This window comes from Homo sapiens, chromosome 1 (assembly GCF_000001405.40).
Source record: "Homo sapiens chromosome 1, GRCh38.p14 Primary Assembly".
Lineage (NCBI taxonomy): Eukaryota > Metazoa > Chordata > Mammalia > Primates > Hominidae > Homo > Homo sapiens.
Genome location: NC_000001.11, coordinates 219,407,503 through 219,434,745, shown reverse-complemented (window position 1 = coordinate 219,434,745; position 27,243 = coordinate 219,407,503). Strand labels below are relative to the sequence as shown.

At 40.2% G+C, this 27,243-nt stretch overlaps 1 protein-coding gene and 1 long non-coding RNA gene across 9 annotated transcripts in view, besides 1 other annotated feature; one reads left to right on the top strand and one right to left on the bottom strand.

The window, feature by feature from the left end:
• Positions 1 to 27,243, bottom strand: part of LYPLAL1 (lysophospholipase like 1) — a 271,619-nt gene that overhangs the window by 10,751 nt on the left and 233,625 nt on the right. For 4 of the 6 annotated variants that reach the window (XR_007078557.1, XR_007078562.1, XR_001736967.3 and 1 more), the window contains one exon: positions 2,550 to 2,686. The gene's annotated coding sequence lies outside the window, so the exon portion shown is untranslated. Of the gene's footprint in view, positions 1 to 126; positions 2,687 to 27,243 lie in introns of those variants that run through there. The other 2 variants (XR_007078559.1, XR_007078561.1) reach the window with 2 other exon arrangements.
• Positions 1,698 to 27,085, top strand: LOC107984018 (uncharacterized). 3 transcript variants are annotated; one of them, XR_002958459.2, is made up of 4 exons: positions 1,698 to 1,843; positions 7,425 to 7,476; positions 22,807 to 23,028; positions 24,479 to 27,085. It is a non-coding gene; the product is annotated as an uncharacterized LOC107984018 (long non-coding RNA). The 3 variants fall into 3 exon arrangements; XR_002958458.2 differs by lacking the exon at positions 1,698 to 1,843 and adding an exon at positions 5,302 to 5,701; XR_002958460.2 differs by lacking the exon at positions 7,425 to 7,476.
• Positions 17,838 to 17,887: a silencer, noted in NCBI's record as "silent region_1821". NCBI's record gives its function as "represses an Ori minimal core promoter by ATAC-STARR-seq in GM12878 lymphoblastoid cells {active_cell/tissue: GM12878}" and the evidence as "EXISTENCE:reporter gene assay evidence [ECO:0000049][PMID:35858748]".

The following is a 27,243-nucleotide window of genomic DNA, read 5'->3' as shown; positions in this document are numbered from 1 at the left end:
CCTGTACTTGTCAGTCAACGCATGGTAGTCTGGGCTAGCCAAGTGAATCCTTAACTAAACTGAAGTGGTGCTGATCATTCAGCCTTCAGAATTGAAAAAATCACAGCATTGCTGAAGGAAAAGGCATTTTTCAGGTAGAGAGGCATAAGTCTTGGGCCAGGAAGCTTCAGTAAGAAGACAATAATTTCATAGAAATGCATTAGCTTGGGGAGTCCAACTGCTGTTCTTGCACCTAAGAAATTCAGAGGAGAGCTCTTTGCTTCCTTGCTCATTCCAGTGGTTAGGAGTCAGGCCTTGTCCCAGAATGTTCAGGTTGATGCTTACCATTTAAGCCTTAAGTTAATCCGTTGAAGCTCCAGGCCTTTTATGGGATTCACAAGAATAAACAGCATTTAACTATAGATTCTCAAAGGTCAAATCTTCAACCTAAATCTGAGGATTCAAAGCATTGTTCACTCTAATAATTCTGCTAGTTCCCAACTTCACACAAACCATTTATTTCAGAATGTAAACCTTGAATAATCTTTTCTTACTTGTAGTTTTGTGGTCATTTAGAAAACAGCAATACTCTATTTTAATTGGAACTAAGTGACAAAAATAAGCCACTTCATTAGTTTTCTAGATAACGGTAAAATGTAAGAACAAAAAGCCACTTCTTTTTCCACGTGGTATTTTACAGTGACTTTTTTTTTTCTTTTTACTGCATTTTAAAATTCTACTGGAGGCATTTCTCGGAAACTTTCTCTTACTTGTTAATGAATCATCCCCTTTGAGAATCAGCAGGTGATTTCAGGAGCCCAGGTGTGAATAATTGATTTAAGGTCGACCTTGTGGGTGGAGCCAATGTTTACCAAGTGCATTCATTCGACAAACAATTGATGAACACCAAATTAGAGTTCAATTCCAGATAACAAAAACCAGTTGAACTAATTTCATCAGAAAGCTACTTAATAGGGGTAATTAGGTGCTTACAAAATAGAAGGGCTGGAAGCCCAGGATCTAGGCTGACACCCATGTAGCTAGACCCTGGAAACTGGGATTCCAGCTGCACAGAACAGCCAAGTGTGTTCATGACTGTGCTTGTTTGTCAGCAGGAGCATGGCCCTGCCTTGTGATACTGTGTTTTTCAGCTCTCACGTGGCTGAGTCTGTTTGGAGAAGTTGGTTCAAGATGCAGCTTGACTCTCAGGGAGTCTGAATAACTACCCTTAATATTGTTAGCTTTCTGGTCTCCAGCACACAGTATGATTTTCTGGAAGAAGGATTTAATGTAGTTAAATATGCCAACGTGTAATATCTGATGTACATTTCTACCCTGCTTGGGATACAAAATAAATAAAAGCCAGTTTCTGTCTGTAAGGAGTGTACAGTTTAGTAAGAAGACAGACTCCTGAACAAAGATGTATACTTCAATGTTGCCAGCCCAGGATTAGAGATGGGTATTAAGAGGACCTCTGATGAGTGATATTTTGCATCTGGTGCAGGACAGTTCCCTAGGTGGCCTTGGACCAAACCAGTCCTCCCGCTTTCTCACTTGTAGTTTTAAGAATAACTAGAATGTGCTGGGAATGCAACATCCCGAGATAAGGCCTAGGCTCTGTTCCAGTCCCCGCTAGAAACAGGATGTCCTTCAGCACATTAATCCAGCAGGTCATGTTATCCCTGGAGTAGAAAACCCAGAGACGGCTACTTTCCAGGGTCCTGCATCTGGGGTGCAAGTGAGGCACACGCAGATGAGACTCCACCTGCCCTGGGCAGCTTTCCTGAGCCTTGAGAAACCAGCTCACCATGAATCCAAGGTGTCTGCTGTTCCTTGCCACCATTTCATGGAACCTGTTGTATGTGTGAGTATTCTCTCTTACCGGAGCAAGTAGTCAAAGTGCAGCCCAAGATGCAGTGGGCTGAAGTAACCAGTGCATAGTGAGCCTGCTTCTCACTGGGATTTGATTAATCATTTGAAAATGCATTATTCTAAGTGCTTAACTTTAAAAGGGAAAATATTCTACTATGAACGTGGACTCCCTAAAACAACAGATTAAGGGAAGGCTGAAAGTGATGACCCCTTTAATTCCTGCTTTCCCAAGGAGACCCTCTGATTCCCTGTGTGGTCCTTCCATTTCCCCTTCAGGAGGCTGAATGCCATCGTGTCCACTTATTTAGGCAAAGGAGATGAATGGGTTGCTTGGCTGCGGTTAGTCATCAGGCCACTGGCAGAGTAGACTGGCACACGGAAATCCTGAAGCTGAATTCACTGTTACCTTTTGAGTCACTGTTACCCACCCACCCCAGACTTCCTCCCACCCCTAGTCTGAACCTGGATCCTATTCAAAGATGTTTTCCCATCTCTTTCCACTTACCTTCTGAATTCATTTTGGAGGAATGTACCAAGATCCTTTGAATCCTCCAGGAATGTTGAACTCAGTGAAAAGTGATGTGGTTAAGAAAGCAAATAATATGCTGAAAGATGTTCATTGGAAGTGGCTAGGGACATCAAAGAAATTGATGAATCTGCATTTCAAAAAGCCAGCAGGGGGTAACATTTCAGCTTACCTCATATTTCTCCTGCTTCTAAATTGGCTATTTACTGCCCATGAAGTTTCTTCCTTCCCATCAGGGCAGAATACTAATATAGTTAGCCCCAGGAAAGAGATGTCTGGAAATGGTATTGTCTTCTTAAATCAAAGCAGCTGAAAGAAATTTGTCTCTTTTATTAACAATGAAATATAGTTGCTATCAATGAGCATCTACTGTATTTCAGGCACTGTACTTAAACACTCTACATGCATTATGCCATTTAATCCTCAATCGTATTGCTGAGATCGATAATATCATTGACCCTATTGTATAGTTTGGGAAAAGGAGGGTAGCGAGATTAGGAAAATCGCCCAACTTGGCAACTGCTGGAGCAAGGATTTGAGCTCTGTTGACCATATTGATCACTATATGATGTTGTCTCATTGCCTTTAAACAACACTAGGGTTGGGTTAGGGTAGCAGAGGATGTATATAATAACACACACTGTTTAGTGAGAGTAATTTTCCAGAACAAGCAAGAAAGGAGAAATGCTTCAATAATCTTCTGAAGTTTAGTTTCCATGGACAGTTATGGATTGCTAAGAAATTGTCAATAAAGGTAAGGGCCACGGAAGAAGCAGAAATAAGCTGCACAGGCCAGGCACTGTGCCATGTCAGTGGCAGAGCCACACCGTCACCTTCATCAGAGCCCAAGGTCTGAAGACACTGAAAAGAAGATCTGGCCACCAAATGCCCTCAACAAGGGGTTGTCCAGACCCTGCTTCAACATTGTCAGCAGCAGGGCATGCTCCACCTCAGCAGACAGCCACTTTTGTTTTCAAGTAACTCTCTAATTGCAAAAAATGTACTTTGTATTCATCCAAATCGGTGTCCAGGTAGCATTCACAAGTATTTGGGAGGCAGAGGCAGGAGGATTCCTAGAGGACAGGAGTTCGTATCCTCTGAAAACATGTAGAATAAATCCAACTCCTTTCCCATATGATAGTTCTTTGGATATTCAAAGCCCTTCCCCACACACCCAGCTGGCTTCTTAACCATCCTTCATACTGTGTGGATTTGAACCATTCTCCATTGCAGTCTTTCTCCTTTAGGCACATTATAGTTTTGCGAAAAGTATTTTGTTAGGTGAAGTACACAAAATTAAATAAGGCATGTTTAGTGTCTTTAAGTATCTCTTAAAGACAATTGTATGAGATTAACTATTGTCAAAAGCCCCCTTAAAAACTCTTCCGAGGTTCTGAGCATGGGTGGGTCATGTCTGTAATCCCCACACTTCGGGAGGCCAAGGCAGGAGGATCATTTGAGGCCAGGAGTTTGAGACCAGCCTGGGCAATATAGTGAGACCCCATCTCTACCAATAAATTAATAAAAATTAAATTAAAAAACTACACCTAGATATAGACCATTTGAAGAGTTCAGAGTGGAACTATGATGTCCCTACCTTGGACAGTATACCTCCTTTAAGGAGACCTAAGTTTACATTAGCATTTGGAGTTGTGTTGAGTCAACTAAGCCTCTAAGTGTTTTTCACACTGACAGCTGCTAAGCCACAAACCAAGGGCAATCACTACAGAGACATGGAATAAGAAAGAATGAGTGTTTTCCAGGCTTTCTCTCCCATTTAGTGATTTGTGTTCGCACTACCTATTCATTCATTACTTTACTTACTTGCTCATCCCACAAACATTTACTGAATACTTAAGTCTGTCTAATTATGCATAACATACTTGGGTGGCCTGAATGGGAAAGAAATATCAGACATTACTTCCTGCCTTTAAAGAGACCTATAATTTAGCTAGGGAGGGAAAAAGAAAAATAACTACAAAACGAAGTAACCTCTCAAAGCATCACATAATGGAAAAAACACAGAATTGAATCTGGAACCTGGGTTATAGAAAAGAGCTTTTTTTTTTTTTTTTTTTTTTGAGCTAGGATCTTGTCTATCACCCAGGTTGGAGTGCAAGATCACAACTCTCTGTAGCCTTGACATCCTGGGCTTAAGGCAATCCTCCCACCTCAGCCTCTGGAGTAGCTAAGACTACAGGCACACACCATCACATCCAGCTAATTTTTCTAGTTTTGGTAAAGATGAGGTTTTACCATGTTGCCCAGGCTAGTCTCATACTCCTGTGTTCAAGCGATCTGCCTGCCTGGGCCTCCCGAAGTGCTCTGATTACAGGTGTGAGCCACTGTGTCTGACCTAGACAAGAGCACTGACTAAAGATAATCACATTTACTCTCTAGATCTCAGTTATCTCATTTAAATAATGAGACACCTGGACTTTTGGGGTTCTTTCTATTTCTAAGGATCTGTGCTTCCAAGTGCAAGATAACTGTAAGCTTCTTGAGGGCAGGGATCATACTTCATGTACAACTGAATTTCCCATTAAATTTGTTACAGTTTTAACTCATAATATCACACAATACATATTTATTGAATGGTCTAATGAATTCAGATTAAATTGGCTTCAGCTTGGGATACAAAATGGCTCCCCAGGGCAATGGGAAAATAGGCCTGGGAATTTCTTTCTTATTTATTTATTTTTTTATTTTTTTGAGACAGGGTCTCACTCTGCCACCCAGGCTGGACTGCAGTGGTGCCATCATAGCTCACCACATCCTCAACCTCCTGGGTTCAAACACTCCTCTCGCCTCAGCCCCCCAAGTGGTGGAACCACAGGTGTGTGCCACCATGGGTGGCTAATTTTTAAATTTTTTGTAGAGACAGGGTCTTACTTAGTTGCCCAAGCTGGTCTTGAACTCCTGTCCTCTAGGAATCCTCCTGCCTCTGCCTCCCAAAGAGCTGGGACTACAGGCATGAGCCACTGCGCCCTGCTGGAATTCTCACCCCGACTGTCACTGGGTGATATCATGAAGTGATGGTCCAAGGAGAGGTATATGCAGTCTTGATGCTCAAGAACAGAGATGACTCATATATTCTCACATATGCCATAATTAGTGGATGAGATCCGAATTACGAGCTGGCTACATACTGCCTCCTATTCCTCCTCGAGTTTCCTGCTCTCTCCTTCTTTAGGTATTTCCAGCTCTGAAAAGCCTGTTTTACTTCATTCTCTTACCAAAGAGTTTGGTGACACAAAATGAAAAGTTTGATGGACAATCTGGAAGAGTCCCACTAAGCAACACAAGAAATACGCTCTCACAAAGGTAAGGTAGGCACAATTCTCAGCAAATCTGGTCTAGATAAGGCCATATTTCTGAGTATGAAAACATACGCACACACGTGCATGCACACACCACACACAGATGCACACACAATTTTTACACAGTCACCCTGCTATAATAGTCTGTACCCAGCTAAGGATCCATGCATAAGAAGGAAGGCTATGATAAAAGTATGGGCAGAATTTTGGGAGAGAAATGAAAACGTACTGCCAAGAGAAAAGGAATGACATGCCAGGTGGAGAGAAAGAAAAAAGGCACATGCTGTTTGAAAAATGCGTTTGAAAAAAATTACTTGTGTGTGGAAGGGGGATGATGATTGTTTGAATATTAAGCTGTTGAATTCTAATTCGATATAAGAGAGAGCCACTACAGGATTGTAAGCTGCTGTCAGATCCTGTGTGCCACATATTGTAGTTATTTGTGCCCATTTCCAATGTCCTTATTAAATTGTAAGCTCTTTAAGGTCAGGGGCTGGGTTTTGTAGATTGCACTGAAAAAAATACAGGAAGTAGAAGGACTGGCAAAGGACCAGTCTCATTAATTCTGGTGGTGATGAAAGGGCACTTTTCTACAACACTTTAACTGATGAGCTACGCTGTTGCTGAGAATAAAGACTGTTATAAGTGTTACTTAAAGTAGCTACTTAACATTTACAAACTTTCGGTTTTGAAAATAAATTAGACTTTGGGAGTCATGTTTCCCTGGCAAAACTCGAGTTCCACTAGAATCTGTGTGAGAGACTGAGAAATAAAAGCTCATGAAACTTTGGAAACACTTATGCAAATGGCATTTTGATGAGATAACTGTAAGTAGATCAGGAACACATGGATTAAATCTTCCACTGAATACCCACTGCTTGGGGGAGTAAAGGTCCAGCATTGTTGCCATCATGGAGTTTGGGTTTTGCTGAACTCCTTATCTTTGGAAAATCAGTTTGACTGTCATCAGATGTATGCAGCTGTGGGTTTTTCTCAGATCTGCTTTATGGTTTTATGGCTTTCAGAGTGAAGCCAAAAGTCTTCCAACAGTCATGGCAAGATGAAGGCCTGGAAATCTTTGAAAGCATGTTCCCAGGCAGACCCATCATGGTCACTGCTTTTTATAGTTGGTACCTGCCTAAAGGCCAAAGTTACAAGAAAAACTAATTTGGGAGTTTGTGTTTAGAGATTGCCCTGGGTCACAAACTTTGCTGGGATCTCTTAAATGGAAAACTTGGCCATTTCTGGTTTCCCTACAAATTTAAACTACAATTTAAATGGAAAACAAAACTCTCAGAAATTTCTGATCTCATGAACACAAGAGACTCTTGTAATGCTGTTTCTCATCTCAGAGGAGAAACAATCATGGAAAAGAATGAAGCAGAGCTTGGAGGTTGATGAGGTCCTCCTCCAACCATGCCTCTCTAACACTGGCAGTTTCACAATGACAATCAGAGTCACTGTCATACTTTTGTAGAGAGGTTGGAGGTGAAGCAAAGGCCAGGCAACTTCTAACTTTCATATTTTTAAATTGCAAAGCAGCCTCAGTGAAGATAGTACATTTTACATTTAAGAAAGCAATGTTCAATTTGCACACACAGGATGACTGCATATACAATATACATTTCTATAAAGTGTGTGCATATAAAATTCAAAAGCTCACACACAAAGCAACCTGATATTTTCAAAAGGAGTAACCCATAAATTCATATTTATGTTCTCTCTAGACCTATTCATGTTTTCCATGTTTCAAATATGACTGAACCTGACATATATAAGGTAAGAAAGTCTTTTTCATTTGAGTTCCACATTTTTACACTTTAATAAATGGATGCAAAATTTGATACATAACATGTTGAAGGCAGTTTTGGCCACATTGATGAAGATTTTTTACTAATAGGACAAAGAATGTCTAGAAAGTCCATAGGACCACATGGGAAATCTTAAAATTTGCAGATGCTTAACACTTATTTGCATAAAGCTGATACTTATTTTTAAATATGAAGCATATTATTATAATATGGGGCTAGGAGGTAGTAGAATGAAGTGATCTGATTCACAGTTTTGTTCCTTCCTAGCCATATTGCCTTTGGGCAAGATAATCAGCACCTTTCTTCATTTGTGAAATAAGGATATAAAAGTACCTACCTGGGCTGGCGTGGTGGCTCACGCCTGTAATCCCAGCACTTTGGGAGGCCAAGGAGGGCAGATCACCTGAAGTCAGGAGATCGAGACCAGCCTGGCCAACATGGCAAAAACCCGTCTCTACTAAAAATATAAAAACTAGCTGGGTGTGGTGGCTCGCACCTACGGTCCCAGCTACTCAGGAGGCTGAGGCACTTGAATTGCTTGAACCTGGGAGGCAGAGGTTGCAGTGAGCTGAGATCATGCTACTGCATTGCAGCCTGGGTGACAAAGTGAGACTCTGTCTCAAGAAAAAAAAAAAAGTACCTACCTGATGGGTTGCTGTGGTAATTATGTGAGATATAAAATATGTTGGAGTCTTAGAAACATGCTTCAGCTAATAAATGTTGGCCCTTACTGCCTCTAATATCAATAATCCTGCTGCTGCCACCACTGTGACATGGCAACAGCTAGTACTTTAAAAACACCTACCACAGAAGCAAAATCTCAGTCATACAATTTTTTTTCCTATGAAACTTCTCTAATGTAAATAGTACATTTCTGAGGAACAGAATTGAAAGCCAATAACACTGAGAGGACAAAGTGAGAAGAACATTAAAAAAACCACTAATGACATAAACTGTTAGATGGCAGAATCCTTTTCTAATTTTCCTTTAGGACAGATTCACCAGGTAGTTTTGTCAGAAGCTTAGATGTATATGAATGGTCATCTTAGGTTTCACCTTTTGTCTCAGCTTCTCTGCAAACAAGCCCAAATTACCCATGGCCCAAACCAAACGTATACACACTCATTTATAAGACTCAGTTGTCAGTTATGTTAAGTTCATTTTCCCATGCTGAGCCCTGAAAGCTTCTTGTGAAGTCTCTACCGTGTGGATCTTACACCTGCACATAACTAGGAAAACAATTTTTAGTTGGTTCTTTAGAACAACAGCGAGGAGAAAAACTCTTCAACAATGGAAGCAGATCTCAAGAGCTACAGAACTTTCCTGAAATGGTAAACATATTACTTGTCTGAGTTAAAAACTTTTTTTTTCTCTTTGTAGGCTACCTGAATTTAGGCAATCCACCATATAGCTCAAGCGTAATGACATACTTAGATAGAATATGGTATCTTTGTATGGTATGACCAGAATGGTAGCAGAATTAACTATAGGATAATAAATGCATTTGATCACTAAAAGTACAAATTTCATGAGCCACTTTGAATGCAGCATTCCCTATGGCCAGGTCCTATACTAAATTCTTTACATGTAATTTCTCCTTGAAGCTTGAAAACAACTCAGTGAGGTTGATGCTACTATTATTGTCCCTGTTCTACAAGTGAGGCAATTGAGGATTAACAAATTTCGGTGGCTTAAGTCTATCAAGGGAGCTGGATGTTACACTAACAATCACACAGAAAAATATATGATTTTAAACTATGTTAACTTTATAGTTAGAGCCAGTAGAGGATAGAAGTGAAGAATCAGGATCTGGCACCTTACTGCTTATATTTTGAATCAAAGCTCTGCCACTAATTAGCTGTGAACTTGGGCAAATCACTAAGCCTGTGCCTCATCTGTAACATGGGATACTAATGGTGCTATGGTCCGAGTGTTTATGTCTCCCCCAAATTCATATGTTGAAATCCTCATTCCCAAGGTGATGTTATTAGAGGTAGAGCCTTGAGAGGTGATTAAGTCATGAAAGTGGACTCCTTATAAATGGGAGGCCTGAAAGGAGCCCCTTGCCCCTTGCACCCTGTGAACACAGTGAGAAAATGCCCTTTATGAACCAGGAAACAAGCCCTCACTAGAGTCTATCAGTGCCTTTGTTTTGGACTTCCCAGCCATCAGAACAATGAGAAATAAATTTATATTGTTGATAAACTACCCAGTCTATGACATTTTGTTATTGTAGTTTGAACGGTTAAGACAAATAGTAACAATTACTGTACGGATTAAGTTAGTTAATATATTTTGAGTGCTTATAAGAATACCCACAACAAGTCCTCAATACATGTTAGCTATATTTTTATTCTTCTCTTATATATAAGAAAAAACAGGGATAGAGAGGTCAAAGTAACTTTGCCATAGGGGTAAAAAGCAAATCTCGAATGTGTCCAAGTCATATCCTAAAACCTACTGCCTTTAGTTATCTTTCTCCCTAAATGTCAGTCCCAACTAAGGGGAGAGGTGGTCCTGCTGGACAAAGCAGGAAGAAAGGGCCGTGATGAGATGGAGAAGCAGTGTGGTGGCCTCTGCTGCAATGAATGGAGGGATGATGATGTTGGTATGAGGATGTCATCAGGACATGTGTTATTTCTGGATGGAGAAATGAGGGAAGATGTCCTCCTCTGATTCTTCACTATCCTCTGACAATCTCGTTGTTGTTCCATGCCCGGTTCCATCCATCTGAAATGGTCCAGGGCACAAAATATACCCAGTTATGATTGTGAACAATTGATCTGGCAGCTACATAGCTAATGTGATGTGGTTTTCAGTCCTCCAACTTGAGCTCACAAGGAGTCTCAGATATTGAATGACTACTTTCTTGACCAAATTTAGATTACTTTAAGCCATTTGAAATTTGATTTTAGAAAGTGTCATATCAGAGCCTAATATATTTGACTTTCTCCTAGAATGATGTCCTGATTAACCTAGAGTGTCAATGCTAAGTTTATAGTTTTATTTAATTAGATGAGTCTTTAAGCCAGAATTAACTGGATTGAAATTCTTTTACGTAAGTCTACCTTCCCTCACAAATTTTCAGAAATGAACTTTTTTCTCTATGCAATTTTTTCTAGTAAATCTAGTTCAATATACAGTGATCTTAATTATTTTCTGTATAAATGTGCCTAATAGTATATTTTATAATATAGTATATTATAATATATATCATATACAGTAAATTATATACTATAGTGTATAGTGATATATACTATACACTGCATTTATAATATAGTACATAATAAAGAATGGTATATACTTTACAAGAGATTGCCTTGGATGAGATTTATTTGTCTTCTACTTTAAACCTTTATAAAACCTCTAAGGATCCAGAAGGGAGAGAGAAAAAGACGGAAAATATTTCTATTTTCCATAACACCTCACATTTATTTTCTACCACTTACTAAGTATAGTGTCTGAGTGATGCTGCTAAAACTCTCTGAGCTTCAGATTTTCATTTGTAACATGCTTTGATATCCTTTCAGGGTTATTGTGAGGTTCTAATTAAAGAATATTCAAATAATCTCTCCATAAACTCCATATAATTGTATAAAAGTGACTATCATTAATGTATACCTAGTAAACAAGTAAATATACAATGCAATGAAGTTGTCTCATTGGACAATTAGAATTCAGTCTTAGTGTTTGGAAAATGACATAGAACCTGGATGTAATAGGTTATTAGGGTTTTATATATCTCACTCAAAAATTCATTTATGTACTTGGTATTTGCCTGTGTTCAATCTACTGCTCAAAGCCCAGTGAATCACCATAGCAAAACGAAACACATTCACCCTCTTCAAGGAGCTTATTAGGAAAGCACAGACACATAACCATAACACAGAGTTGAATGTCACTAACACTGGGACATGATGGGCTGAAGACCAAAATGTCTATGGACATTTTGGGTGGAGATATCGGCCAGTAGATTACTTCCAGTTGGTAAGAGCAGAAAGCCAGAAAGTCCAAGAACACTGTATGAAGAAGAAAGGTTTTCCTCAGCCCTGAGTAATGATGTGTTGTACATGTGGCTGCTAGAAGTAAGGTGTGAAGAGAGGATGAGTGAGTAGAGAGGGGTGTTCTAGGCAAAATGAACTCTGTGAGCAAAAACATCAAGGTGGGAAAAATTTAGACTGCTGTTTCTCAAAGTATGGTCAGGGGTTTTCCTGCTTCGTGAATGATGAACAATTGCATGCTCCGTCATGGGTTCTTGTGGGAAGGAGGGATGTGCAAGCTCATGGATTTTCATTTTTATAATGACTAAGAACAAACCATTACCAACTGAGTAAGTGAATGACCAAAGATGACTAATATTTGGTACACATACAGCAACATTTATGTTACTAGAATTTTCATAGGTCTGTAACTCCATATCCTAAGAAGTCTGAGTAGCAAGATCAAGTTTCTGCTGTCTTTTCACACACACAGATAGTTAAAAGCCTGCTCCCCAAGCATCCAACCAACGATTTTATCCAGAAGCAAAATAGTTATTTATGCCTCTTGAATATTATTTTAAGTTGATCCTGGCTTTCAGTTTTTGCTCTCCCATTATTAATTATTTTAAGATGTACTCTTTTTTTTATTCCTGCATAATGGTTGGGCTCAAGCTATTTTCACAGCTACTATATTTTTCTGTATATCTTATCATCAGGGTATTTTCTTCTGGACAAAGAGTATAGGTGATATAAATGATGCTATGTACCCTTTGTCCTGCCATAATCTCTCTCTCCTGCTCTGTGCATGGCATTTGTTTTAATACCCTCCTCTGCCACCCTTGGGAAGTCCTATCTTTCAGGAAGGAAGCTGATGTGAAGGAAAAATACAAAGTTCCTGGTTCTGTAGATCAGGGGCTGGTTAATTATGACCCAAAAGCCAAATCCAGCCTGCAACCTGTTTATGTAGATAAAGTTTTATTGGAACACAGTTATTTCCATTCATTTATACATGATCTGTGGTTGCTATTGCACTACAATGACAGAATTAAGTAATTCCAACAAAGTTTCAGAAATCTTAACAATTTACTAATTGCCCTTTTACAGAAAACATCTTCTAACTCCTGTTCACCATGGTACTAATAACTATTTTCCAAATGGAAACCTTGGGAAAAAATGGTATGTGGTGTTTCTTAAGAGATCAACCAGCGTAGGTTGTGTTAACTTCAAAGCTTAGAGTGACTGACCACTTTTGGAAGGACAGTGTTATAAACTCCTCTGTCATCCTGAAAGGGCACAATCAAATTTTTGTTGGTGAAAGAGAAATACACAAAATGCGAATGATTGCTTGATGAATAATAACAAAGAGTAACCACCTAAAAAACGTTAAAGTAATCCTTTAACTTCGTAAGGTTTTCCAATTCTTTCAATATTCTTTATTTAATTATTTTTAGTCACTCTCTAAATCTACCTTTTTTTCCGAGAAACTAGCTCATCCTGAAGCTCCCCTCACCCTCCTGCTATCCTCCTTCTCCTTTTATTCCTCCTCATCTTCTGTTTTGTCACACATCCATCTCATGGCACTACTTATATATCTTGTAGGATAATAGAATCTCTAGATGTTTTTCAATGGCTTTGAGGATGAACAAACATCTTTGGAATCAGTGCTCAAATTTGAGTTTTATCAGCAGAATATTATGTAATTAATATGATGAACACAGCATAAGCATTGCTCACTTTCAACAGTAAAAATATCTTAAACTCAACAACCTTGTGAATAATCTATCTGAGATTTGAGGAAGTTGAATAGCCTCCTCAGGTGCTTGTAAATGGTAGAATTGGCTATGAATGCAACTTCGGCTGACCCTCCAGGGTTCTCAGATAGGGTCTTCATGTTGTTCTCTCATGATCTGGTTTTCCTATAGTGAAGTCAATGACTTTTACCCTGAAAAACATGATGGGCCACTGGATTGGATAGCTAAAAATTCATTTTGTATTTATGTCACTTAACTCTGACAGTTCTGTAGCTGGATTGATTAGATGTCCCAACTAGTTAATAAATTGGGCCTAACTCTTTATGTCAAAATCATTATTAAAAGGTTACACTCAGTTCACCAAAGTTGTGAAATATTTCAGGTCATACTGGGAGGCATTTCTGGTTTATTGGCCATGTCAAATCTCAAGCAAATTGTTTACTTCTCACTTGAATTTTTATTTAAAAATCCAAATTTCACAACTGGTTCAGATTTCCCAGGAGTATTTGCTTAAAGTAGACTCCATTTAGAAATAACTGATATATTTCCAAATTAAAAGAACTAAGATGTAAGAATAAAAATTTCAGAATGGACTTAAATTACTGTTTTGAAAGAGCATGCTACATCTACTTATATGAAATTCACCTTTAAAAGTAATCCCTGAAGCTTAGAAAGCCAGAATTTATAGTAATGGGGTAGTTAGAAAAAAATTTTAAAAGATGCCATAGTAAGAAAAAATAAGTGGTTCTAATTATTATGCCTTTGTTTCTCCTGAAATGTGTTTTTCCATGATACTTCAATATTTATCTTGCAGGTGGTCAGCAATTTTATTACAAATGACAAATCCACTCATACAATGGCAGCATTACCAAATTATAAAACAAGTCACTGGAGAAAAAAAAAATTAGGCTATGTGTACGCTGCTCATGGGATTTGCAAAACCATCAGTGTATGAGCTGCTCTGAACTAAACGTTTGACTACAAAATTAAGGGGAATGAGTGGGTGATTTCTACTTTCCAAGGACAGCTTCCACCACTAGTTTACAAGCATATGGTAACTGAGAATATTCTTGATATTGCAATACAACGATGATCTTTTCTTAGGATTATGAAAAGGTAGAGGATGCAATCAAAATAGAGTGCAAATTATTCGGGTTAATATTTAAATTATAACCTTGGCTCACACAGCAGTATCCCCTCAAACCTTTTATTTGGTGAAATTAAATCTTGAATACTGTAATTCTGAATTTTCTGAATTTCAACAAGACTTTTCTGAAGCCTTTGGGGTAACAAATTAATATTTAACACTGTGAGTGACTTTCATCTATTACTTGGCATGGCTGTTCTTGGAGTTCACAAGTCAATTCCTTTCCTCAGGGGCTTTGCCCCAAGTCTTCCTGCCAAGATCTATGGTTCTTTCCCTGCTGAAAGTTACTCCTCTGTGAACTTTGCCCAAGTTCTGTAGATAATAAAGAATCAGGAAGAAGTGAAGATAGTTGTTCCCTTTCCCAAGCAAGGGGACCTGGTCCCTGTGGTTTTGGCACCAGCTTCAGGCCTACCAGGTAGTGCTCATGAGGATTTAGCATAGAAATTAAGAACTCTGACTACCACTTTTAGACTTTGGGAAGCTAGCTGTACACATATTTCCTTCCAGAGGCGCCTTAATTATACAATGAAGCCAAGATACTCCAGGTTGTTTACCTGTATCTGCCTTAATCTGCTATTGTTGGTGATGTCCTGGGACACCTGTGCAGAGGCTGGACCCCCTACCCCCACAGTCAGGACATAACAGGAGAGAACACCGCCCAGCCTCAGAGGGGAAACAGCCATAAACATCCCCTTGGTCCAGCTAATAATGTGTAAGCTAATGATGTGGAAGCTAAAGCACATTTGTCTCTCTCTCTCTCTCTCTGTGTGTGTGTGTGTGTGTGTGTGTGTGTGTGTGTGTGTGTGTGTGTTGGGCTAGGGCTCAGAAACCCAAAGAGGAACCAGAGCATGCACCAACTCTGATCTCTGAAGAGCACAAGCCAAATCATCAGCATTCCTTTTTCTCAATAATCAGGAAGAGGAGGTATCAAGGCCAGAATTTTCATTGAGAGATGATTGCCTGGCTCTGGTGTGGCTGACTACTCACCCATCATAGTCCTGAGAACTCTCTCCTGATCGCTGGCACAGGGACTCTGATGATGCAGAGACATGGCTGTAGAATTGGTTGAGGACCAACTGAACTTTCTGCCAGTTTTAAAATCCCTAAACAGTGGGAAGATGGTTTGGCAGTTTCTTAACAAAACTAAACATACTCTTAGCACATGAGCCAGCAATCACAATCACTCTTCTTGATACTTACCCTAAGGGGTTGAGAACTTATGTCCACACAGAAACCTGCCCATGGATGTTCACAGCAGCTTCAATTATAATTGCCAAAACTTGGAAGCCACCAAGGTGTCCTTCAGTAAGTGAATGGATACATAAACTGAAGTACATCCAGACAATGGAATATTATTCAGTGCTAAAAGGAAATGAGCTATCAAGCCAAGAAAAAAGAATGGGGAAAACATAAATGCATATTACTGAATAAAAGAAGCCAATTTGAAAAGGCTCCATGCTGTATGATTCCAACTATATGACATTCTAGCAAAGGCAAACTTTTTTAGAGATAATAAAATGATCCTGGGTTGCCAGGGGTGAGAGGAGATGGAGAGAGGAATGAACAGGCAGAGCACATAGGATTTTTGGAGCAGTGAAACTACTTTATATGTTACTATAATGATAGATGCATGGCATTAAACATTTGTCCAAACCCATAGGAAGTACAACACCAAGAGTGAATGCTAATGTAAACTGTGGATTTTGGGTGATATTGATGGATCAATGCAGGCTCAGCAGTCGTAACAAATGTACTACTCTGGTGGAGGTTGATAGCTGGGGAGGCTGAGCATGTGTAGAGGCAGGAAGTATAATGGAACTCTCTGTACTATCTGTTTGGTTTTGCTGTTAACCCAACACTGCTCTAAAAAATAGTCTGTTTTAAAATTTTTAGTCTTTAAACACAGAGTGAGGCAGAACCACTAGGATGGGCTAGAATCAGTGCTGGGAGGACTGGGAAGTTTCAAGTTTTCATTGGGCCTAGAGCCTAATGGAAATATCCACACGGGTAGGGTGGCTTTGTGTGTGGGAATTGCTACCCTTTATCTTTTATTTGTGAATGAGAGTTGTCCAACTCTGGACAGAGACCTAGGGTCCGTCCTCTCAGTGGGGGACATTGAAATGGGAAGTACATTCTCTTGGCTGAAACGAATTTACAAGCAAAGAAAATGGCAGGATAACTTTTTTCGAGGTTTTAACTTGTGGTTTGATCCCATTGTTTTTTTTTCTGATTCCAAATAGGTAAACCAGGCATTTTAGATTTTCATGTCCCAAAAATTCCTGCAGGAGAGAACGCAGTAGCTGATGAAATCAGGTCCTACTTGTTTTGTCAGCTGCAATTACTTAATTAAACCTATTAAGTATCCTGGGCAGGGGGAAGTTAAGGAAGAATATCCAAGAGCCAGTTGAAAAATGGAATTCTTGATATAGTAAGGGAGGAAAGGTCATGGCGCCCACTCAGTATCAGCACCTTGGTCCATTAAGCACTGCCCCATGGCAGTAGCCTGGATGCAGGGCAAGGCCCAGAGGGATGACTGCCCGACATGCCTTGGAAGGCTGCACTTTGCCGTATGATTCCTTGGCAGAGATTCCCTTGTTCCAATTATGGGACTGAGGTGGCAAAGCCACTGGTCATGAAAAGACTCTGCAGGATGGGACAAAGGACACACATTCCTAGTGTCCAGAAAGGAGTATTTAAAACTCTCAAGACTTTTATCAGACCCAGTAATAACTGAGATTGAACTGATTCAGGATTAGATTCACATTTATTTAGAAAAAAATATATACTATTTATAATGCATCAGTGGTTCTGGTTGCAAATTCTCATCCATAACATCTGCCTATACCATGGACAACCTTTTACAGAATGTTACACAGGGCCATTCCTTAGAATGATAGCCCTCAAAGATCTCAATTTTAAATGATCTTTGCTACCCGTGCATGACAAATGAGTCCATTGCCATTTTAAAAAACTATTTGCAGCTTTAACATAGACTGTTTTTCAAGTTTCTATTTTTCCTATCAAAGTTTTAAATTTTAGAGTATTGATTCAGTCCAATAATAATGATATTAGTAGTCAAGGTGGTTATACTAATAAGGCTGGCTCACAAAACAAAAACAATAGAAGACAATAGAAAAATTTCCTATACCAATGAATTCCAAATAATGTATGTAGACTCACTGCCCTCAAAGAGTAGAGAATAACTTCACTCCTTAAGTGTGGGCTGTGCACAGTAACTTCTTTCAAAGGATATAGTTTGGAAAGGGGGAAAAAAAGAGTAATATTTTGTCCAGAAATCTGATTGACACTATCTCAGCTATGTGTGCAGGTTAATAGTAATAAGTGACAAATCAATTTGGTAGTGCATGCTTTTAGTATAATGAGCTGAAAATGGCACTTTGCCTCTGTAGCCTTCTTCTTAAAATCCATAAGCCCAGGCTAATTGAGGTAAGAGACCAGCAGGACTTGTTTTCTGGTCACAACCTTGTGGACCAAAATAGGATCTGGTCCAGACAGGATGAAGAGAAAAAACCAGCAGCAACCAGCAGATGGCGACAAAAGGGATCCATAATTGCCCTTACTGCTCACTAGCATAAGGCACTCACACCAGTGCAATGACAGTTTACAAATGCCATGGCAATGACCTGGAAGTTACCACCCCTTTCTGTGAACACAATCCAGAAGTTATGGCCCCTTCCCTACAAAGTTCTAAATGACCCACCCCTCAATTTGCATTGATCAACCTCTTAATTTGCATACAATTAAAAGTGGGTTCACATGAGTATAAATAGAGTTGCAAAAAGCCCATATGTTGCTGACTCTGGGTGCAGTGTCTTTGAGTTGGCCCTACTCTACAAGGAGCAGTACCCTTCAATAGAAGATTGCTGTCTAACACCACCACCTCACTCTTGAATTCTTTACTAGGCAAAGCCAAGAACTCTCCTGGGCTGAGATCTGCCTGTCCTGCACCAAAATCATGAGAAAAACATTGGGCAAATCCCAGGTGAGGGACATTCTACAAAAATCCCTGAGCAGTACTCCTCAAAACTGTCATGGTCCTCAGAAACAAGGAAGGTCTGAGAAACTGTCACAACCAAGAGGAGTGTAAGGAGACAATAATTAAACCTATGTGGTATCCTGGAACAGAAAAAGAACATTAGGTAAAAACTAAGCATATCTGAATAAAATAAAAATTTTAGTTAATTATTAATATTGGTTCATTAGTTGTGACAAATGTACATTAATAACATGTTATTAGTAATAATAGGAGAAATTGAGTGTGGAGTATATGGGAACTCTATCATCTTCTCAGCTTTTCTGTAAATCTAAAACTACCTCAAAATTTTATTTTAAAAAATAGCAGAATTCATCAGAGCAAAATTCACCTGTCAAAACTGACGAAAAATGACTGTTGCCTTTAAAAGAAGAGAGAAGCGCTATGTGAAGACAGGCACACTGGGAGAAGACCATGCGGTGACAGGAAGAGATTGAAGTGATTCAGCTGCAAGCCAAGGGGCACTCAAGATTACTGGCCACTACCAAAATCTAGGAAGAGGCAGGGAAAGAATCTACTTCAAGTTCCAGAGGGAACATGGCCCTGCTGACAACTTGCCTTTGAATTTTTAAGACCCTAGAACTGGGAGACAAAAGATTTCTATTGTTTTAAGCCACACAGTTTATGCCATGGCAATGACCCGGAAGTTACTGACCCTTTCCTAGAAAGTTCTAAATAACTTGTCCCTCAATTTCCATTGAAGTGCAAGAGTTCATATTTCTCAAGTGTATGTGCTCACTAGTATTTTGCTTTGGTACCCTAAGAAACTAGTGCAAATGCTTGGTTTATGATGGCAATGTAAACCTCCGGTCACTGCAGAACTCAGTAGTGATTCTGCCTGTGATGGTGATTGATGATATTTTCACCTGAATAATTTTATACACTTGCCTTTCAGAATGTATCACTGCATTATTTATTCTTTTAAGTCCTCACACTTTTCATGAAAACATCTCTTCCAGGGATTTCTTCCTCTTGCTTCAATCTGGACAGTTTCCTCTGTAAACCTGCTCTACAGTCACCCCAGGACTCAGTTTCACTGATTTTGTGGGGGTTGAAACCACTGTTTCCTGGGTTCTATGTCTTTTTCTATTATTGTTTTTCTCTTTTGCTGGTACAAGTCTTCCAATAATTTCCTAACCAAGAGTGGTGACAGATAAAAGACTTTTGAAGTCTTTTCTCCCTAGGCATGTTGCATTGATGTTGCTGGTGAGAAGGCTGTTGGCATTCTTCTATTTATATGTCCTGTTTTTATTATTTTACTTTGGACATCTTTCCATTATTCTTGGTGTATTGAAGTATTGTAATAATGTGCCTTGCTGTGGTTATTTTTCTATTCATATGCTGGATACAACAAAGGTCTTTCAGCCTAGAGATGAGTGTTCTTTAATTCTGGGTCCCCCTGGTTTCTCATGCTGCTAATATTCATAGCGGTAGGACCCTTGCCTACCATAGCCTCAGTGCCTAGCACAGAACCCTCAGAATACTCAGCATTCATTAAATAATTATGGAATAAAGATGGAATCTGGAAAGAAAGGACTGTAGTGACTTTTGAATTGGTCCTTCAGATTTCTCTAAAGTTTTAATTCTGACAAGAAAACAAGAACAAATAGTGAAGCCCAGACTTGGAAAAAGTGACCTAGTCAGTACATGTATTAAAACCACGAAATAAAAGCGAGGAGGAGTCATATAAACTTAGGTAATGTAGTTCCAAAAGAGAAAAGCAAAATTTACTTCCACTAGAAGTGAAAATAGCTGACTTATTGATCACTTTCTTTTAAAATGAATACCATTGTCCCATGTTACAGTTGACTAAACTAAGGCTCAGAATGTTCAAATAACAACTAGGAAATGGCAGAGCTGGAATTTAAGTCCGGATATTTGCTCATTTATTTAACAAATATTTACTGAGGCTCCATTGAGTGCCAGTCAGTGTGCTAAAGCTATTGTAACTCTCAAACTCATGCCCTTTTCTTTATCCCTAATGTCACCAAGCAGTGCAAGTAACGGGAACTGGTATAGCTTAGTTACATAAAGTAATATAGGATTGGGTACCCATAAAGAGATAAAACTAAAACTTAATGCTGGCATTTATTGCAAAATGTAGGAGCAACAATCAAACCGAAATTCAGTGATAATGGGAAAAATCGAAAGGGCTAAGGAAATCTGGTCATTCTAGTTAGGGTCTTATCCAAACCCTGCTGCATTCATCCTTCCCCCTCAGCCATCCATCCTTCCCTCTGCATTCAACAATGCACTCAGTGGTGTCTGGGGGGCATATTAAAGATACTGAGAACTACTCAGTAAATGAAAATTGTATATATGGTTTTTAACTTATTTCTCAAGTGTATTTGCTTGCAGAAGTCTTTACCGTTTTTACAGATCACAATTTATATTATACTATAAACTTGTTTTGCAGAACACACTCTGGAAAGTATTCTTCTACCAAAGGTTACATAATATGATTGGATTGTGGGCTTGTGAGAACAGGGCTTGTGCTTCCAGTGCCTAGCACGTGGCCTGTGCCTGATCAGTTCTCAGTAACAAGTGAATTAATGAATGTGAGAATTGTGAGCACTTTGGCAGGGCTAATGGATATAAGTGGTTTTTATTTTTGTTTCTTTGTTTGCTTATTTTAAAGGGTAGGGAGCTGTCACAGAGCCCTTCAAATGACAACAGACAGCTGCTTACTTTCCCTAGTGCAAGCACTCAGGAAGAATTAGATTACATTCTCCTTCTTTGGGGGGTAACTTTTCTCTCAGGCCTCAGAGGTAATTCCAGCCACTAAAATAAATAGGAATTTCCCTTTCCCTACCAAAAGATATTAGGAGTTATCTGATTCTTAAAACACTGCTTTTGAAAGTAGCTATCCCAAATGGATTGAATTTGGAAGGTGTTTTGTTTATCTGGTACATGGATCAGTGGCAGTCCGAAAAGCCCATATGAAAGAAGATGAGGATCCCTTATCTGGATGGAATTTAATTAAAAATAAACAAAAAGATGGCTACCATTTTAGGATAGCATAGCCTCTTATGGCAATTTAATTTCCTTTCAAGAAAGAAGATGATATAAAATCTTTTCAGATGCCAGTGTAGTAAGGCATATTCTAAATCACATTATTATTCCCATGGGTGCTTCCTCTAGCCCCAACCTTCCATTTTTTTTTTCTTTGTCAAGAAATTTTTCTTCAACACATGAGTTCCATTAGCTGACTCAGTTACATCCTGCCTAGTATCTCTAAGTAGTTAATTTTGACCACACTAAGAGATGGAACTCTAAACCAACAATTCCAAAAATAGTTTCTTTGAAAACAAAGATGCAATCACAAATAGATTGGATTGAAAAGTCTCTTGATAATGTCTTATAGGGTTCCTTTTAAAAAAAGCAAATGTAATGAGCCAACTCATCATACCAGAGGTCTCATGAAGCAAACCAAAAAAATGCATTTATCTCTTTCGTTGTACTTAATGTAAATTCTTAGCGTGGAGACTTCATTTTGATTTGTCTTTGTTGTGCATCTTGCCTGTGTCGGTAACATTGGACTTACATGGCAGGCTCCCAAAGGACACTTCTCATTTCATATCACCATACAAGTGATAAGTAACAGTGTTCTTAGAGATGAGCTTTTCAATTAGAGGAGGTTCTATATGAATGTGAGAAAGGATATGGATTCTTCATGGTCATTTTAAAGACATTTTGAGGCACCTTCCTTTTATTCTCTCTGAGCAATAATAGCAGACATTTACCCATTAATGGAGCTTTTGCTGTGTGACAGGTATCATGCTATGCATCTGACTCACAGTATACCATTTACTCTTGATTATAAACTGTGAGGTACACACTATAGTTTCTACTATTTTAAAAATAGTAAAAACAATAGTATGTTTTGTAGAAATAGCATGATGGAGGGGTTATCGCCCAAAGTCATGAAGTTAAGGGAGGAAGTGCCAACATTAAACCAAGAAGAGAAACCACCAAATAAGGCTTGGTGCAGTGGCTCATACCTGTAATCTCAGCACTTTGGGAGGCCAAGGCAGGAGGATCATTGAGATCAGGAGTTTGAAACCAGCCTGGGCAACACAGTGAGATTGAGTCTCTACAAAAAATTAGCTGGGTATGGTGGTGTGTACCTGTTGGGGGGCTGAGACAAGAGGATCCCTTGAGCCCAGGAGTTTGAGGCTGCGGTGAGATAAGAAGGTGCCATCTCATTCTAGCCTGCCTGACAGAGTGACAGCTTGTCTCTTAAAACGACAACAACAAACAAACAAAAAAATGAAATAGGGAGTCTCTAACACTATACACAATACTTCTCCTAAGCACATTCCATTTGCAATATTATTCTAAATGTCATCCTCCAAATCTCTTGTAGAACGCAAAAGATTCTTCAAAATCAAACTGTGTCCGGAATTGGTGGGTTCTTGGTCTCACTGACTTCAAGAATGAAGCCACGGACCCTGGCGGTGAGTGTTACAGCTCTTAAGGTGGCGTTTCTGGAGTCTGTCCCTTCTGATGTTCAGATGTGTTCGGAGTTTCTTCCTTCTGGTGGGTTCGTGGTCTCGCTGGCTCAGGAGTGAAGCTGCAGATCTTCACGGTGAGTGTTACAGCTCGTAAAAGCAGCGTGGACCCAAAAACTGAGCAGTAGCAAGATTTATTGCAGAGCGAAAGAATAAAGCTTCCACAGTGGGGAAGGGGACCCGAGCGGGTTGCCAATGCTGGCTCGGGCAGCCTGCTTTTTATTCTCTTATCTGGCCCCACCCACATCCTGCTGATTGGTAGAGCCGAGTGGCCTGTTTTGTCAGGGCGCTTATTGGTGCGTTTACAATCCCTGAGCTAGATACAAAGGTTCTCCACCTCCCCATCAGATTAGTTAGATACAGAGTTTCCACACACAGGTTCTCCAAGGCCCCACCAGAGCAGCTAGATACAGTGTTGATTGGTGCATTCACAAACCCTGAGCTAGACACAGGGTGCTGATTGGTGTATTTACAAACCTTGAGCTAGATACAGAGTGCTGATTGGTGTCTTTACAATCCCTGAGCTAGACATAAAGACTCTCCACGTCCTCACCAGAGCAGCTAGATACAGAGTGTCGATTGGTGCACTGACAAACCTTGAGCTAAACACAGGGTGCTGATTGGTGTATTTACAATCCCTGAGCTAGATATAAAGACTCTCCACGTCCCCACCAGACTCAGGAGCCCAGCTGGCTTCACCTAGTGGATCCGGCACCGGGGCTGCAGGTGGAGCTGCCTGCCAGTCCTGTGCCGTGCGCTCGCATTCCTCAGCCCTTGGGTGGTTGATGGGACTGGGCGCCATGGAGCAGGGGGTGGCGCTCGTCGGGGAGGCTCGGGCCACACAGGAGCCCATGGAGTGGGTGGGAGGCTCAGGCATGGTGGGCTGCAGGTCCCGAGCCCTGCCCCGTGGGAAGGCAGCCAAGGCCCGGCGAGAAATCGAGCGCAGCGCCGGTGGGCCAGCACTGCTGGGGGACTCAGTACACCCTCCACAGCCACTGGCCCGGGTGCTAAGTCCCCCATTGCCCGGGGCCAGCAGGGCTGGCTGGCTGCTCCGAGTGCGGGGCCCACCAAGCCCACGCCCACCAGGAACTCCAGCTGGCCCGCAAGTGCCGCACACAGCCCCGGTTCCCGCTCTTGCCTCTCCCTCCACACCTCCCTGCAAGCTGAGGGAGTGGGCTCCGGCCTTGGCCAGCCCAGAAAGGGGTTCCCACAGTGCAGTAGGGGACTGAAGGGCTCCTCAAATGCCACCAAGTGGGAGCCCAGGCAGGGGAGGTGCTGAGAGCAAGCGAGGGCTCTGAGGACTGCCAGCACGCTGTCACCTCTCAAAACCAAACAAAACAAATTAGGTGTCATATTTTAAAAGGTGCCACTACATTCTGTAGGCCCCTGAAACAGGTGCTGCGTGCAGAATCACAGCAAAAAAATCCCATCTATTTTCTAAAATTAAACTACGTTCTGTTTAATAACTAGCATATAAGAAATAAAAGGTTAAATGATTTCTTATCGAATTTGTTTTTTCCTCTACAGGTTGCTAGTAACACAATAATAAAGCTGCTTTATTTTCCAGTGAAGATGTATGTGATAGGGAGTGGAGGAAGAAAAAGGCCAGAAAATTCCATAGTTAGCAAATATACCTTTCTTACTTAAAATTCTTTTTCCAATGTGAGCCTTCTAAAGAGTTACTGAGAAATTAGGTGAGCTCACCTCATTTAATGCAATAGATATGTTTCTGAAAAATAAGCAATACATAGGACATTGGCCAATTAAGAATTCTGATGAAGAAGAATTTTCACATCCGAAAGAGTAAAAATGAAAAACGGTACAAATGTAGTGGCTTTTAAATTTCAAAACAAATTATTTTGATAAGATAAATATTCCTCTCATAAAGTGAAAATGGAAGAGACTGCTTGCTGGGTGTTCGTCAAAATGGAGTTAGATGGTCTGTCCCAGACTCCCCTGTTGTTAGTTCTGAGAACAGAAGTAATGGTGCTTCTTCAGGACTGGCTCATAGAAACCTGCCGTGTTCAGCCCCCACAATCCTCTCCCTTCTGCTGGCTGGAAACAAATGACAACGAAGCCTCACGTCTTGGAGAAACCACACTGCTGAGGAACTCAAGTCCTAGAAGAACCATTTGAAGAGACCCATCTCACTAAAGAAAATCACACAAGCAAGAAGTAAACTTCATTGTATCTATGTATTTAATTGTCATAACAGTCTACCTTAACTGATACAGCAAAAATTCGCTCCTTTTCTGGACACCCAGTTTCAAAATCTCAGTGTCATTTTTTACTTCTCTCTTTTCAGGTTGTTTAATATAATAAAATTTGTGTGTGTGTGTGTGTGTGTGTGACAAGGTCTTGCTCTGTTGCCCAGGCTGGAGTGCAATGGCACGCTCCCAGCCCACTACAGCCTTGACCTCCAAGCTCAAGTGTTCCTCCCACCTCAGCCTCCAGAGTAACTGGGACTACAGGCATGGGCCACCACACCCGGCTAATTTTTGTACTTTTTGTAGAGACAGGGTTTCACCATGTTGCCCAGGCTGGTCTTGAACCCCTGGGCTCAAGCGATCTGCCCATCTCCACCTCCCAAAATTCTAGGATTACAGGCGTGAGCCACTACACCCAACCATTTTATTTTTAAAAGTTTTCTTTGCAATATTGCTCACATTGTTTCCTTCCTTTTTATTCTTATTGTCACTCCCAAGTTCAGGCTTTTACCTCTTTTATTTGAAGTATTAAAGTATACTTCTAAGTCATTTCTGTGGCTTAAATTTATTTAATCCACTCCATCCTGCATCCTACCAACACAATAACATTGTTTCATCATTTCAAATTGAAATCGAAACTCTCCAAAGCTTTCCTACTGCTGAATGGATAAAAACACAAAATCCTCAATAGAGAATTCACTTTCTGGAGCCAACTTACCTTTCCAAATATTTCCCATTATTCCCTAAGAGAATCCTCCTGACATACTCACTGTTTTTCATATACACTAGACCTTTTCTCAACCACCTATTTGTCCACACATTTTTCTTCCAGCTAGAATATTATTTTCCCTTTCTCACTTCTGAAAGTCTTACCTGTCATTCATGGTTCATCTCAAGCTCAATCTTCTCCTTGAAACCTTTAAGCATACCCTCCTGGAAAGTTATCTCCCTCACCTCGAACCACCCCCCCAGCCCCTGCCAGAATCTCCTATAGGGCTGATTGTTTATCCTGCTTATTATATATTTATAAAACACTCCACTGAGTTATTAATTACCTTTTCCTTGACTGTGAAAACATGACTCTGGCTTCAAGGTAGGACCATTTTTTCTCTAACACTGTGTCTCATACACTTCAGCACAAGCTCTTAGTGGCCTGTGCATTCAACTCCCATGCATAGCCACTTCCTCCAGGCAAACCCCACAGCCAGCATCCAAATTTTAAAAGGGGTTCTGTCATCAACCCAAAGTTTCTTCTCTCTCAAGGAACCTAGATTTAGAAGTTGAGTCTAGGCCACCTGTCTAAGATACAGTAGTTAATTTAACATATTTTATTGCTCTCAACATCACAGAGAAAGAGCCTTACTGCAGATCTCATTCTTTCCTTCAAAGCCAGTTTGCCCATTCCTCTTCAGAAACCTTTAAGAGTGGTTATTGGGAGAGATGATAAGACTCCATCTGCTTAAGGAGTCCCTCTAACCCAGAATAGTAGATGTAAACACCTGACATGTTGTTATAGAGTGAATGTTTGTGTTCCCCTCCAATCCATATGTTGAAATTCCAAGCCCCAATGTGTTCGCATTGGGAGGTGAGGCCTTTGGGAGGTAAATAGATCATGAAGGTGAAGTCTTCATGAATGGATTAGTGTCCTTATAAAAGAGACCCCAGAGAGCTCTCTCATCCTGTTTCTGCCATGTGAGGACACAGCAAGAAGTTGGTCATCTGCAACCTGAAGTGGCTCCTCCCCAGAAACTGAATCTGCTGGGGTCTTAATGGTGGGCTTCCCAGCCTCCAGAATTATGAGTGTAAATGTTTGTTGTTTAAGCTACCCAGTCTAGGGTAGTTTGCTATACTACCCCAAACTGACTAAGATACATATGTTTGTCATCCACTCAGTTGTTTTCCTAAAATAAATGAAGTCAGCTCCAAAGATGAATTTTCATCTCTTTTTGTAGAGATGGGTGCTATTATGCTTTTTAATGAACGTTTATTCACAAATAAAAACAAAACATACCTCTCACATCCTCAGAGCAAATACTTACAGTAACATACATTGATGCTCACAAGCTCATTACATTTCATGTTTAC